We start from the raw sequence: 15475 nt of genomic DNA, 5'->3' as shown, positions 1-15475 counted from the left end.
ACCCTAAAACCTCTATACAGCAGCTATTCAAGTGAATTTATTAAAGACCTTCCGTGTATAAGGCATGAGGTCCCTGCTTCTTGTTTTGGAGTCTGTTAAATTCAGTAGAAGAGAGAAGACAACTACACTAATAATTAAAGGCATAATGCTGAAAACACTGTAAGAGAATAAAAGAAGGCTGACCTTCAGTGGGCAACTGGCAATATCAGGCAAGGCTTCATGTAGTAGATGTGATTTGAGTAGAGCCCTAGAGAACGAGTGGATCATCAATAAGCAGAGATTAGGAAAGGAAGAGAAAAAGTATTACAAGACTAGGGAGAAACACCAGGAAATGAAAGTGACAAGTTGCATTAGGATCATTCAGGGTCTTGAATACAAGGCAGGACATTTGACATGTGAAAATAAATTCAATAAACAATCCAGGGGCAATGAAAACTTTTGAGAAAAGTAGCACTCCTCCAAGAACTATACCCTGGGAGCAGTGTGTAGCATGGAGAAGGGGACAGTCTAGAGCAGTGATTCTCAAAATGTGGTCCCCAGGACAGCAGCAGCACCGAGGAACATGCCAGAAATGCGCATCCTTGGGCCTCACCCCAGATGTCCTGAATCAGAAACTCTGGAAGTGTGGTCCAGAAATCTGTGTTTTAACAAGTCCTTCAGGGAATGTGGATGCATGCTCCAGTTTGAGAATCACTGGTCTAAAGACAAAAAAAAATCAATTATATAATAATTTTAGTCATCCAGATGACTGGTAATGAAGAATTAATTAATCCAGGTAGAATAATCATAGTAAGAAGGTAAAAGATAGAACAGACTGGGGGGAAAGCAGCTGATTTTACCAAAAGATCAGTGATCTGAGGGATGGAGATCATTACATCTCCTCAAATTCTGTCCCCTAATTTTCCAGACAGATGACCACCTTTCCATTTTTTCTCCAGTTTGCAAGAGATATTATGGAAGCACAACTGAACAACTTCTGAGAACAGGACAACCAGACACAGAGAATGAAGGATAGAGAGCACTTTAAATGACTCCAAGTTTTAAGCCTCAGAGGTAGGCAGCTTAAAGATGCCTTTAACAAAGAGATGAATTTTAAACAACAGAAAAAGACAGGTGGAAAAAAGGCACCAATCCATGTGGTTAGTTTTTACTATCCAGTGGGAAATAAAAAGATTTACAGAAGCTTCCAAAAATGTATACTATACAGTAAGGTAAAATAACAAGATAAAAAATTTTTAAAAGAAAGAAAACAATGAAGCCAGAGAAAAACAGGGATAGAAAAGTAAGTGGAAGCCACAAGTGGGCCAGAGAGGCCATGATTTTGGCTCAAAGAGTCTTTGTATTAATAGTCACAACTCTGGAAGAGCCACAGGGTCCGTGAGAACTGAGCAAGTCAGTGACTTAGGAAAAGCTCATTTCTTCTCTGTACTGAAAACAGGGAGAAAATTCCACCTTGGACCATCAAAGAGGTGATTTATAATGTAGCAAATGATATTCTCAATACTGACCTTTGAGATAAAGAACTTGGTTTGAGGATGTCACATGGAACTGTATATGCCTTTAGAAAAATCCAATGAATATTTCATGCAAAAAGTTGAGAATGTGAACCTGAAGCTCAGAAAGTCAGGAATAAAACTACAAATGAATTTGGAATTTTCCCACATGAAAGAGATGCCCAGTGTGCAGATAAGAACACAGTAAGAAAAACAGAATTGAAAAGGTCCCATTGCTATGATGGTTTAATGCCTATGATACACAGCCTAAATAAAGATATAATATTGCCACCAAAACTATATATTAATAGGTTTCAAACATGAATTAGCATTTAACTAAAAACATGAGAATGCTTCCCTCTTGGAAAAAAAGAAAGCTAAATTCATCAAATTTTAAATTTATAAAACAGATGGATGATTAGCATTCAAAATGATTCAACATTGGATGTCAACGTTGATTTTTTTTTTGACCGGCAATTGCCCTTAGGAAAGTCAGTTTATGAAATTTCACTTCTCACTAGTTTTTCAGCACACATCCATTGTATTAGATGTGGAAAACATAGTTTAAAAACTGTCATCCCAAAAATTGTTTGAAAAGTTTCTATGATAGATAGGTTAACAAACTCTGTTGGATAGATGAGCTATTCTGCTATGTCATGAAAAGGTAGAACTTTCTGATAAGGCTATTTCAAAAAAAGTAAATATATCCCAAAGATTGATGTATGAGTGAGGATTGCTTTGGCTGCAATCATCAGAAACTGATTCTAACTTTTAAAATTATATATATGCATATATATATTTAAAAATTATTGGCTCACAGATCAAAGGAAATATTGAAAAGTCAGGCATTGGTGTTACCAGGATGAATCAGTCACTGCTAATTCTCCATTCCATACCACTAGAATCAGGATTTCTAGTCCTGAGGCAAAGAGCATTGCTTCGTATGCCCAACTCTTGGCTAGACAAGGACAGGGCCCCTTTGATCAACAGCTCCTCTTGGGCTGCACATAGCCTTTTTTAAAAGGATGTCAAAGTCATGCTATGACAAAAGATAATAGGCAGGAAGGAAACAGCAATGAATGTCTACAACACACAGCAAGCATGCATTTCTGATAGGAAAGCAAAAACAACCATGGATGTTGACATATAAAATGAATCCAATCATCATCCCAGAAATGCAAGTATTTTCATGTTCATATGCCTTGAATATCTTAAGAACCCAGAAATTTATTCTAGGTTACTATCAATTCAGAAAGACTCTTCATCAGATAGGGAGGATTTTTTTTCTATCGATAGGAACATAACAGGACCACTCTGTCTTGTTCTTATATTTCATAAAAATAAAACTAAAAGGAACAAGAGGTATGTTTGACCTTATATTTGAAATAAGCCAACATTATATTAAAATATTAATGCAACCTTAGACAATGTTAATAGAAAATTAAGTCCAAATGACAGGAAATACAGTCTCAGTGACTTCTCTCCTACTCAAACAGAGCACTGTTTTGAATTCTGAGTTTTATAATTTAGAAAGAATGGGCTCATGCCTTTAATCTCAGCACTTTGGGAGGCTGAGGTAGGTGGATCGCTTGAGCTCAAGAGTTCGAAACCAGCCTGGGCAACACAGCAAAACCCCATCTCTACAAAAAATACAAAAATTAGCTGGCCGTGGTGGCATGCCTGTAGTCCCAGCTACTTGGGAGGCTGAGGCAGGAGAATCACTTGAACTCTGGAGGCAGAGATTGCAGTGAGCCAAGATTGTGGCACTGCACTCCAGCCTGGTAACAGAGCGAGACTCTGTCTCAAACAACAACAACAAAAAATTAGTCAGGCATGGTGGAGTGCACCTGTGGTCCCAGCTACTCGAGAGGCTCAGGTGGGAGAATCACCTTAGTCTGGGAGGTCAAGGCTGCAGTAAGCCAAGATCACACCACTGCGCTCCATCTTGGGTGACAGAGTGAGACCCTGTCTCAAAAAAAAAGAAAGAAAGAAAGGATGCAGCAAATTAAGAGCACACTCAGAGGACATGACAGGACAGCAAAGAAACCATTGGAATAACAATGAGGGGAAACAGGAACATTTAACATATAGAAAAGAGGATTTGGGACTTAAATGACAACGGTCTTGAGTGCACTGTGCTGTACGGCAAAGAAAAATTGAATGTGTTCTCCAAAGATCTAGAATCCGGTTCCTACTCTATTCCTATTTACTGTGTGATCTCAAGCAGGTTGCTTCCCTTCTCTGGGTCTTATGTCTTCACCTTTATAAAAGGAGGTGTTGTTTTGTGAGCAATGGCAGGGGGTTTTCATCAGACTTAGGTTCAAATCCCACCTACATGGCTTACCAGTTACGTGGTTTTGATCTGAGCCTTTGTAAAATACAGATAAATAAAGATGAAAATTCCCTCAGAGCTTATTGTGAGAATTAAATAAAATAATGTAAATAAGATGCCTGGTGCAATGCTGATACATAGTTGATACTCAATAAATTATAATTTACAATTACTAATTACCAATAAATGGTAAATACAGTTATTCAGTAATACGACTCTATAAAAGATGTGAAATGCCATTACAAGAAGGCGATACAGTTTTCTGCCATGTTGCAAGACCAGCGATAAAAGTTATAGGAAAGCAGGTTTTTCACTAATTGAAGAAATAACTTTCTAATAAGTAGAACTAACAAGAAAAAAAAGCTGCCTTGCGAAGTAGCAAAGTTCCCAACACTAGGAATGTTCAACAGGGTCATGAAGAATATCTGTTGGGGACACTACAGAACAGCTTCCTATATTTTGAATGAGAAATAGATAAGATCCCTTCCTAATTCAAATGTCTATGACTTTCAGCTGAATGCAGTACCAAGTGCATTCATAGTTTATAATATTAATGTACCACTGCCCTCTAGTGTATAACCTAAGAAGATAAAATCACTGATTAAAAAAAAGGAAAAAAATGTTTGCACAAGCATCATGCAAAATTATTTTTATTGACAAAAAGTTATCTCACCAATCATTGAGTAGAACCTTCTTATTTTCAGGTGAGAAAACTAGAGGACAGAAAGTGATACAATTAGCCCAAAGTCACAGGGCTACACAGCACAGAGCTGGGATAAGAATCTCACTCTCTAACTCTCAGGTCAGGGTTCTTCCTGACATGTCACATTCCTGAGGCTGCAGCATAGATCCAGTTATCCTTGGATAGCATCACTTGTCTGAGCCAAAACTCTTTGGTTCTAACCACGTAACTGGACAAGTTTCTCTCAGCACGATGAGTCCAGCACATCCTCAATCACAAGTTCAAACCCTTACAACCATGTTGCTGAAAAAAAAACAATGGTTAATGAGGCCATGTTGACAAGCATAGTTCATTATCAGCAAGCTAATGACCACTCAGGCCGCAGCAGGGATGCCAGCCTACAATTAGGTCTGCAGTGATGTACAAACAGAAAGGGACTCTAGTTATAATTAAACCTGATCCTTTAGTCCAATTGCTCATTAGGAAAGAAAATAAAACAATCCACAGATCCCACACAAGAAGGCCTAAAACTAATGCTTTGGTCCGGGGATGAAATGTTAGGCCATTGAGCTATTAGCCCATGTCTGTCTGCTGCTGAATGAGCACTTAAGCTTATATTCTTATTCAAAATACTTTGTAATGAAGGAGGATTGGTTTTCATCTTACTGATTTTGAAAGCCGTGGCACAAAGGATGCTGGATAATTTTTCATTTTCTTCATTTTGCCTATCACGATTGTTCAATCGTTTTTCCTGTGGACCTGTATTACTTGTGCAATTAAATATATTTAAAAAGTACTAAATCTTGCCAAAATCTCTTCAAGTAATGAAAACTAGGCATTAAACATAAGAATACACATAAGCACGAGCCTTTCATAATTAGAAGAAGGAACTACCTCTATAGAAAGGCAACATGATGTTATAAAAATAAAAAAGTCAGCACAGTATATGGGTTCTGAAACCAGAGGACTGGAATTCATGCGACAGCTTTGCTAGTGAACCCTTGGACGGGTATCTAAAATTTTAAAGGAAGGTGTCTGTGATTAAATGAAAGGTCTAGGTAAAGATCCTAGGAGATGTGAAAAAAAAAAAGTGATTCATAAATTACAGGTTCCTTCCTCTTCCCCATATTCCCCTGCATTGCTTTTCTGTCCTCATAATTCCTAAAATATGTCTAAATCTAGAAAGAGATGTCTTACTAAGAAAGACCAATTGAAAGCTTTGAATTGATGAGGAAAGAAGATGTAAGTAGGCCTAAGGAGGGAAAGTAGTAAGAAGAGAGGGAGAAGAGGAGGCAGTATTAACAAGAAAGAAGAGAGAATGGGCTTCATTTGGAGACAAATTCTCTGGAGCCTTGAGAAGAGGTGGGGAGGACATTGGAAGAGTGAAGCTAATGAGATTAGAAAAGGTTTGTTTTCTCCCTTTCTTCCCATTTAGTCCCTTCCTTACCTTTTTGTCTCTTTCAGATTCTTAAATGATGAAGCCCTTTCTTATTCCTGTCCATTTATCCTTCATCTGCAACTTCTTTCTCGTTACTCAGTGCCCTAGCCGTGTGCTTTTGAATCAATCTCGCCAGCACCCTCTGGAAGTGTGTGTCATCAATTATCTTTTCATTACATAACGTTTCTCACACATACCTTCAATCTGCTCTTCTCTACTGGTCTCTTATCTGTCTATCTAAAAGCATTCTTAGGTTTTCTCTGTACTTAAGATTCAATCCCAGGAGCCCTTATATTGCCATGTGCTCCCTGGGTAACAGAAAGGGAAAGCACTGTGAAGAATACATCATTCTTTAAAAAACCAGTTCCTGCGCTCAAGGGGCTTACCAATTAGTTGTGGAGAAAAGACTATGTCATTAGAAACAATGGTGATCAATAAAAGGAGTATATAATTAAGTCCTAAATTGGCTCGTCAGACTCTGAGTCTCTACAGCTTGGGGGATGCACGCCAAGGAGTTCCCCAAGGTGCTATGGTAAGGGATGATTTGGAGGAAGCACCAGGCCAGAATATTGCACAAAGCAATTACTCAATAAATATTTGTGATTTGGTTTGAGACAAAATGTTAGCTAAGCCTTGAAAATCATTATAAGATCGCCACTTCTCCCACCTACTTGACAATTCTCCTTCTTCATTGGTTTTAAGGTGCATATTGTTTCACATCTTAACAATTCTGGAACAAGGATGTATTTTTCAATCAAGGAGACTCAGCATGTGTTACAGACTAATTGCCAGTGCTTTTTCTTTCTTAGTGGTATATAAAATAATGGTACAACTTACAACCGATGGCTTCTTAGATTCCATAAAACACAGTTTTTTTGTGTATCCAGTATATTTCAGGTTGCTATTTTAGGCCCTAGGGATATGTGAATAAGAAATGTAAAGTTTTTCTTTTGTGAAGCTTGCATTGTGATAGAGGAAGACAGATAATAAACAAATTAACAAATATATGATACACTGATGCCAGGTATGGTGACACAGACTGAATAGGAACTAGATTTAGGCCTAGATCCCAATCTACTGTGCAGGAAAATAAAAAATAATGAGAAGTGAAGTTTTTAAAAATCAGATTTCACGTACGAGAAATAGCAATTTGGAAGGAATTTACACATATTTTGGGTATTTCATCTCCTCTGCTAGACAGTGAGCTCCTTGAAAACTTTTTATAAAGGGCAATTTACTTAATTTTACTACAAAAGCTGAAAAATATAGTATGGATTGGACCCTTGATCTCAAGGGTCAGGAAACTTTTTCTGTATAGAGCCAGAGAGTCAATAATTTCAGCTTTGCACATCATATGCTCAATGACACAACTACTCACCTCTGCCATTGTAACACAAAAGCAACATGGATAAATACATAGATAAGCATGGCTGTTTTCCAACAAAATTTGGTTTATAAACACAAGTCGCAGGCTGAATTGGCTCCACATTGCAGTTTCCCAACCCCTGAACTAGGTAGCTATTCCTAAAGGCTCCTAGAACTCTGGAATTCTTTGAGATCTAAGCCTGGAGACCTATTTACCACAGCATATACAAATGATCCTCGACTACAATGGTTTGGCTTACAATTATTTTTCATTTTTAATGGTGCAAAAGCAATACACATTCAATAAATACCATACTTTGAGTACTCATACAGCCATTCTGTTTTTCACTTTCAGTATGTTATTTAATAAATTACACGAGATGTTCAACACTTTATTGTAAAATGGGCTTTGTGTTAGATGATTTGGCCCAGCTGCAGGCTAACATAAGTGTTCTGAGTATGTTGAAAGTCAGCTAGGCTAAGCTATGACATTTGATAAACCTATAGGTGTATTAAATGCATTTTTCCTTATAATAGTTTCAATTTGCAATGGGTTTATTGAGATGTAACCCCTCGAAGGCAAGGAGCATCTGTACAACATCCACAAGATTCCCCAGATTGTTAGTAAGGCCACAGAAACAAACCAAGAAAAGGGGAGCAGCAATGTTTCTGGGGTATCATATGTGGAGATGAACCCATTTACAAAGGTTTGCTCAAAAACCAAAAATTTCAACTCATCCCAACATACATGGCCTTCCAGATAGATTCAGGGAATCCTGCACTAAAAAGAACAGGTCTTTTTACAGCCACAGATAGGAGGTCAGCAGGTGATTAGTGAGGTCTGCATGCTCAGACCTGGCTTGTTGCACTGCGGTCAATTACACAGCTGGTTACAAGTGTGTGTTTGCACCTGTTCAAGCCTTCAAATGTGCTAATCCTATATTAATTAAGCAACTTCTTAGAAGCAGGTTAAAAACAAATTAGACCCTGCCATCCCATGCCTGTTCCAGCCTTCCCTTGGTAGCCCTTCATCTATAAGGGATCATCTACAGAGGGTAAGGAGCAATGTTTCTTCGTAATTCGGGAGGGGCTCATTATGCCCCATCAATTAGTGCTGCCACCACTTAGTGAAAACAGTTGTTGGTACATAGCCCATATTAGTGACTAATTAATAAGGGTTGATTAGCTAAGCCCCCTCACAAGGTATAACAGGCAACAGCCACCTTCCACAAGGACTACGGATTAAAACAGAGATATCAACAATGTAAAATGAAAGAAATTTTGCTGGTGACCCTCATCTTTTTTTTTTTTGCTTGGAGACGGAGTCTCACTCTTTTTCACCCAGGCCGGAGTGCAGTGGCGCTGTCTGCAAACTCCGCCTGCCGGTTCACGCCATTCTCCTGCCTCAGCCTCCCGAGTAGCTTGGACTATAGGCGCCCGGCTAATTTTTTGTATTTTTAGTAGAAATGGGGTTTCACCGTGTTAGCCAGGATGGTCTCGATCTCCTGACCTCGTGATCCGCCTGCCTCGGCCTCCCAAAGTGCTGGGATTACAGGCTTGAGCCACCGCGCCCGGCTACCCTCATCTTTCTGAATGGGTTAAGAGACAGCACAGTCCATAGCTAACCAGTACACCTTATGATTTCAATACATTGAAATGATTTCAGTTGCCAAGGATGTCTGGCTTGTTATTCTTTGAATCATTGATAAAGGGAGGAAAGTAGTACCATAGCAGATTAATGTGGGAGCTTATCTCAGGGAGGTAGAAAAATCGACCCTGTACATGTAGGATGCACACCATACTGCAAAACATAGGACATGAATGTGTATCTATTTAGATATCCCTGTTGATATTTTCAAATGTTATTTTTATTAGGAGCATGGAATAGTGGGTAAAAACAAGAGACTCAGATTAGTGATTTGACTAATTATGGATCAAGCAAAATGTTCATGTTTCTGTATATCAGTTATTGTGTTATATCATAATTACCTGTTGTGTATCTCCCTCATTCACACACACACACACGCACACATAGACACAAATTTTGATCACGGGTTCTTTGAAGTTAGGGGTCAAATCTCATTTATCTTCATATTCCATAGAAGAGAGCATTTTAGAAACTTCTTAGCCATTTGATGAATAGATTAAGGAATGAATGCTTTAACTTCTGATTACTGGCTAATATTTGTATCTTTAGTAGAGATGGGGTTTCATCATATTGGTCAGGCTGGTCTTGAACTCCTGAACTTGTGATCCACCCACCTCAGCCTCCCAAAGGGCTGGGATTACAGATTACAGGCGTGAGCCACCACACTCGGCAGCTGATTCCATCTTTTTTTTTTTTTTTTTTTTTTTTAGACGGAGTTTCACTCTTGTTGCTCAGGCTGGAATGCAATGGCACAATCTAGGCTCACTGCAACCTCTGCCTCCCAGGTGCAAGCAATTCTCCTGCCTCAGCCTCCTGAGTAGCTGGGATTACAGGCATCCGCCCGCACGCCCGGCTAATTTCGTATTTTTAGTAGAGACGGGCTTTCTCCATGTTGGTCAGGCTGGTCTTGAACTCCCGACCTCAGGTGATTCGCCCGCTTCGGCCTCCCAAAGTGCTGGGATTACAGGCTGAGCCACTGCGCCCCGCCTGATTCCATCTTTTACTCATGGCATCATTCCTTGCTACTCTTAACAGGTGTATTACTCCATTTTCATGCTGCTGATAAAGACATACCCAACTCTGGATAATTTATACAGGAAAAAGGTTTAATGGACTTACAGTTCGACGTGGCTGGGAGGCCTCAGAATCATGGCAGAAGGCGAAGAGGAGCAAGTCACATTCTACGTGGATGGCGGCAGGCAAAGAAACGGTTTGTGTAGGGAAACTCCCGTGTTTAAAACCGTCAGATCTCGTGAGACTTATCCACTAGCACGAGAACAGCACGGGAAAGACCCACCCCCCGTGTTTTAATTACCTCCCACCAGGTTCCTCCCACGACACGTGGGAATTGTTGGAATTAAAATTCAAAATGAGATTTGGGTGGGGACACAGCCAAACCATATCAACAGGTTTCCTTGGGATAAGTCTGATGCGTTTAGCATATCAAAGCTATCACTGTTCTCCAGTTTACCAAAATACCTCTTTCCAAACACGATGGAGAAAGAAGAAAAATGAGTGAAAAAGAGAAAAAAACCTCTAACCTACTCCCTAAGAATGTTCATCGTGGCACCATTTAAAATAGAGACTGCAAATAAACCTAAGGATGGTTAAATATAGTATGATACATTCTACATGTCATATGAAATCATTAAATTAATGTTTTAAAAGACTAAGAGTATTTAATGACATAGAAAGTGTTCCACTGAGATATCGTTAGAAATAAAAGGCACAATCCCTGCAGGATAATATAAAATAATATGTATCATGTGCATCTCTAAAAGGCCAGAGGTATAAGATTCAAAATATTTTAAAAGGCTCTCTCTGGTGACAGAATTGGGTGATGTTTATCTTCTCCTTTGTGTTTTTCTGGAAGATCCAAAGTTTTACAACATGTGCTACATTATAGTCAAAGGAAAAAAGTCCATATGAAAAAAAGAAAAGGTTTTGCTTTTATATATCTTTATACGACATCATAAAAACCATGCAATCTCATCAGTCAGGCTGAACTCCAGCAGCTACTAAAACCAGTTTAATTAATGATTCTCACATAAATTAAGTGAACTTACATTACCAGATAATAAAACATATTATGACACTACAATAACGTAGTACACACATAAAAATTGATGGTAGAAACAAATAGCCCAGAAATGGATCCTAATATATATCTACTCAAAAAGAACTTAGTATATGATAAAGGTGAGATGACTAATCATTCAAGAGGAGGAAGGATTATTTCATAAATAGTGTTAAAATAGAGAGTTAACTGTTTCAGTGAGAAGATAAATCACTGCCTTACAAGATACAATAATGTACATTTTGGATGGATTTAATTATTAAGTGTAAAAACTACACTCAGGAGACCCAGAAGAAATAATAAATATGTGAATTTATAATCTAGAATTTCAAATATCTTTCTAATCAATGATAAAGGAAAAAATAAACCAGAAAGAGAGGGAGACCAATTTTCCTACACTTTTGTATATCACTTACTCACATCAAAAACCACCATAAAAGGCCTGGCGCAGTGGCTCACGTCTGTAATCCCAGCAACTTGGGAGGCCAAGGCAGGCGAATCACCTGAGGTCAGCAGTGATTCCTGCTGAAACCCCGTCTCTACTAAAAATACAAAAATTAGCCGGATGTGGTGGCACACGCCTGAAACCCCAGCTACTCCAGAGGCTGAGGCACGAGAATCACTTGAACCCAGGCAGCAGAGGTTGCAGTGAGCCGAGATTGTGCCACTGCACTCCAGTCTGGGCAACAGACTGAGACTCTGTCCTCAAAAGAAAAAAAAAACTTTATGTTCCATTAGGGCAGGGGCTGTCTCTCTCTCATTTGCTGCTGAATGTTACACCTTCTGCAGTGCTTCACACATAGTGGGCAATCAATAAGTATTGATCAAATAAAAGAATGATCATTTACAAAAGAGTAAATAGAAATGACCATTAACACAGTTATGTTTTAAAAGTCCCACATGACTGGTAATCAAAGAAATGAAAGATGAAGCAGAGATAACACTTTATTCCCTCAACTTGGCATGTATGTCTTTTAAAATAATACTCACTGCTGTCAGGTATATGATGAAATGAGTACTCTCACTCACTGCTACTAGGAATCTGTTAGGTCAAAATTTGTCAAAATGTGCAAAAATCTCAAAAGTGTTTTGATCCTTCAGCAATATTTTCATTTCTGAGAATTTATTATGGAAAAATAATCTAAATAAACACAAAAATATCAATCTCCGCAATCCTGGTAATGCTGTAAATTGGAAACAACCTAATTGTTAAATACAGGGAATTGATTAAATAATTATATACATATGAAATAATGTTATAAAATATTAATATTTGTGATTTTGAATATTTAAGTATATGGAAAATTGTATGTTATAAAACAAGTTTAAGGATAAATCTATACGTATATATTGATTCCCATATTTTAGAAAATATATGGATATCTATACGTTAAAAAAAATAATATGTAGTCCAGGCGCAATGGCTCCTGCCTGTAATCCCAGCACTTTAGGAAGCTGAGGCAGTTGGATCACCTGAAGTCAGGAGTTCGTGACCAGCCTGGCCAACATGGTGAAACCCTGTCTCTGTTAAAACTACAAAAATTAGCCAGATGTGGTGGCACATGCCTGTAATCCCAGCTACTCCGGAGGCTGAGGCACGAGAATCGCTTAAACCCAGGAAGCAGAGTTTGCTAGTGAGCTGAGATCTCGTCACTGTACTCCAGCCTGAGCAACAGAGTGAGACTCTATCTCAAAAAAAAAATAAAAATAAAAATAAAGTGCATATTTTTATGTTTACTTGGATAGCGAAATATGCTTTTAAATTGATTTCCCAAAGAACTCATACTACTTGTATAATAAAACAAAAATAATAATTTTAAAAAACTTATCTTCACCATGCACAATGGCACAGCAGCTACACAGAGGCCACAGCAGGACGATCACTTAAGCCCAGGAATTTGAGACCAGCCTAAGCAACATGGAAAGACCCTGTGTCTTTAAAATTTTTAATAGTTTTTAAAGACTTCTCTTCTGTGAGGTTTGCAAGCTTTTTCATAGTTTGCAAGCTGTCATTTTAATATATTCTATTGATCACAAAAGGATTGGGGTGGGGAGAGATAGGTACTATAAACTGAAACCCCGCTGCTCTTAGGCAAACCCAACAATCCCAGCATATGTTGGGGTCAGTAGTGATACTCTCCTAGCCGGGACCTCCTGGGCTCACTCCATCCTACGCAACCAATACCCACCCTTGGTAACTCAATCACTGGCATCTAAAAAATGCTTTTTGCTTAGCTTAGAATATTTTGCCATTTAGATGAACATTTTTCATCAATTTTTCACTGAGTTTTTTTCTCCAGAAATGTGAACTGAAAAGTGAATTCATAGAAGAAAAATTGTTGAAAAAAAATTTCCTTTAGGATGTTTTTAGAGAATTTTTTAATCCTGAGAAATTTCACCTGCAGGAAAAGAAAAAAAATACTTAATTGCTTATTCAGTCCTATTTTCCTAAGTGTTCAGATCTTTTAATAACTTTAATGTATAGGACAGTTGCATAGGTAACATTTTAATATGACTCTGTGCATATGTGTACTACTTCTCAAAGAGGTTGAACAATTTTACATACCAGTAGTGTATGATATTTCTGGTTGCTCCACATCCTTAAAAACACTTGATGTGGTCAGTCTTTTTAATTTTAGCCATTCTAGTGGGTATGTAGTAATGTCTCATTGTGATTTTACTTTGCATTACCCTAATGTTTGGTGTGGTTGAACATTTTTTTCATGTGCTTATTTGCCATTTGTATATCTTCTTCGGTGAAGCCCCTCAAGTTATTTTTTCAGGACTGTGCTTTGTTAGAACGTTTGAAGCCTATGAACTTAAGAGAAATTCATATATCTGGTATTCCAATAAAATATTTGGAGATACCCTTCAAAAACGAGGTGTTCAGATCCTACTTCAAGCTTTATTTTTCATAGCTTTCCTGCCTATAATTATCATGTCATCATTATCCTATCTGTATATAGTCAAATAATATTGTCCTGAGAATTAATGTAAAGCAGATTCCTTCCTTCTGGCTACTGGATTTCCCTCTCAGATACTAGTTGGATGCCTGCCCAAGAGGAAAATATCAGGCATTGCAGACAGGTAATCCTGAGCACACAATCTCATTCTATAACTGAAATCTAAAATGCTATACACCAAGGAACATTTCATAAATCTTTCCTCTAGTTGAGAATTATAACCTCTCTTTATGACAGAGAACATGTGTATCCAGTGCTGGAGATTTTATTCTATGCAATAGGAAATAAATAAATAAAATTGAAAAGCATCCAGATTTGAAAAGAAGAAATAAAACTGGCTTTATTTGCAGATAACACGACTGACTCTGTAGAAAATTCTTTGGAAAAACAACTTTGAAAAAAGAGCCAGAGGGTTCGTACTGCCTAACTTCAAAGCTTTTACAAAGTTTCATTAACCAAGACAGTGTGGTATTCGCATAAAAATAGATCAATAAATGAATTAGAATAGAACATAGACCCACATATTTAGGATTGTTGACAAAGGTGCCAGGACAATTTAAAAGAGAAAGAATAATCTTTTCAATAAATGGTTCTGGAACAACTTGGTATCTATATGCACAAAAATGAACCTTGATTCTTACCGCTTAGTATATACAAAATTTAACTCAAAATAAAACATAAGCCTAAATACAAGAGTTAAAATTATAAAACTTCTAGAGCACAATAGGAAAAAAAATCATAGTGACCTTAGTTTGGCAAAGATTTGGATACAGGAATAAAAAGAAACCATAAATTAGACTTTATCCAAAGACACTATTTTAAAAAGGAAATGAGAAACCCTAGACTGGGAGAAAATCTTTACAAATAATGTATCTGTTAAAGGACTGATATCTGGAATACATTTTTTAAAAACTCTAACACCACCACCACAATTTTATTAAAAATGGGCAGAATATTTTAATTAACACTTCAAAAAAGATATACAAATAGCAAATAAGCACATGAAAAAAATGTTCAACTACACCACTACATAACCACTAGAATGGCTAAAATTGAAAAGACTGATTATATCAAGTGTTTTCAAGGATGTGGAGCAACCAGAAATTTCATACACTACTAGTGAAAATGTAAAATTGTTCAACCTCTTTGAGAAACAATTTCTTAAAATGTAAATATGCAGTCACCATATGACCTAACCATTCTACTCCTAGCTATTTATCCACGAGAAATGAAAGTATATGTCCACACAATATATACATGACTGTTCATAGCAGCTTTACTTGTAGTAGCCAAAAACTAGAAACAAGCCAAATGTACATCAATAGATAAATGGATAAAAAATTGTAGCATATTCTTACTCAGCAATAAAAAGGAATGAGCTCAGCCTGGCCAACATGGTGAAACCCCGTCTCTTCCAAAAACACAAAAATTAGCCAGGCGTGGTGGTGCGTGCCTGTAGTCCCACCTACTCAGGTGG

The 15475-nt window shown here is 37.6% G+C and overlaps 1 long non-coding RNA gene across 1 annotated transcript in view, besides 1 other annotated feature; it reads right to left on the bottom strand.

Annotated features, from left to right (window-relative positions):
• Window positions 1-10166, bottom strand: part of MIR548A1HG (MIR548A1 host gene) — a 200152-nt gene extending 189986 nt beyond the window's left edge. The window contains exon 1 of the long non-coding RNA NR_149116.1: window positions 10078-10166. This is a non-coding gene — a long non-coding RNA (MIR548A1 host gene). The remainder of the gene's footprint in view (window positions 1-10077) is intronic.
• Window positions 4686-5321: an enhancer, noted in NCBI's record as "OCT4-NANOG hESC enhancer chr6:18527823-18528458 (GRCh37/hg19 assembly coordinates)". NCBI's record gives its function as "activates a minimal SCP1, AML or CMV promoter by ChIP-STARR-seq in primed H9 embryonic stem cells {active_cell/tissue: H9 hESC(primed)}" and the evidence as "EXISTENCE:reporter gene assay evidence [ECO:0000049][PMID:30033119]".
• Window positions 10167-15475: the final 5309 nt, after the last annotated feature.

This window comes from Homo sapiens, chromosome 6, assembly GCF_000001405.40.
Source record: "Homo sapiens chromosome 6, GRCh38.p14 Primary Assembly".
NCBI classification, from domain to species: Eukaryota; Metazoa; Chordata; class Mammalia; order Primates; family Hominidae; genus Homo; species Homo sapiens.
The sequence above is the reverse complement of the archived record's forward strand: the minus strand, read 5'-3'. Positions and strand labels throughout refer to the sequence as shown.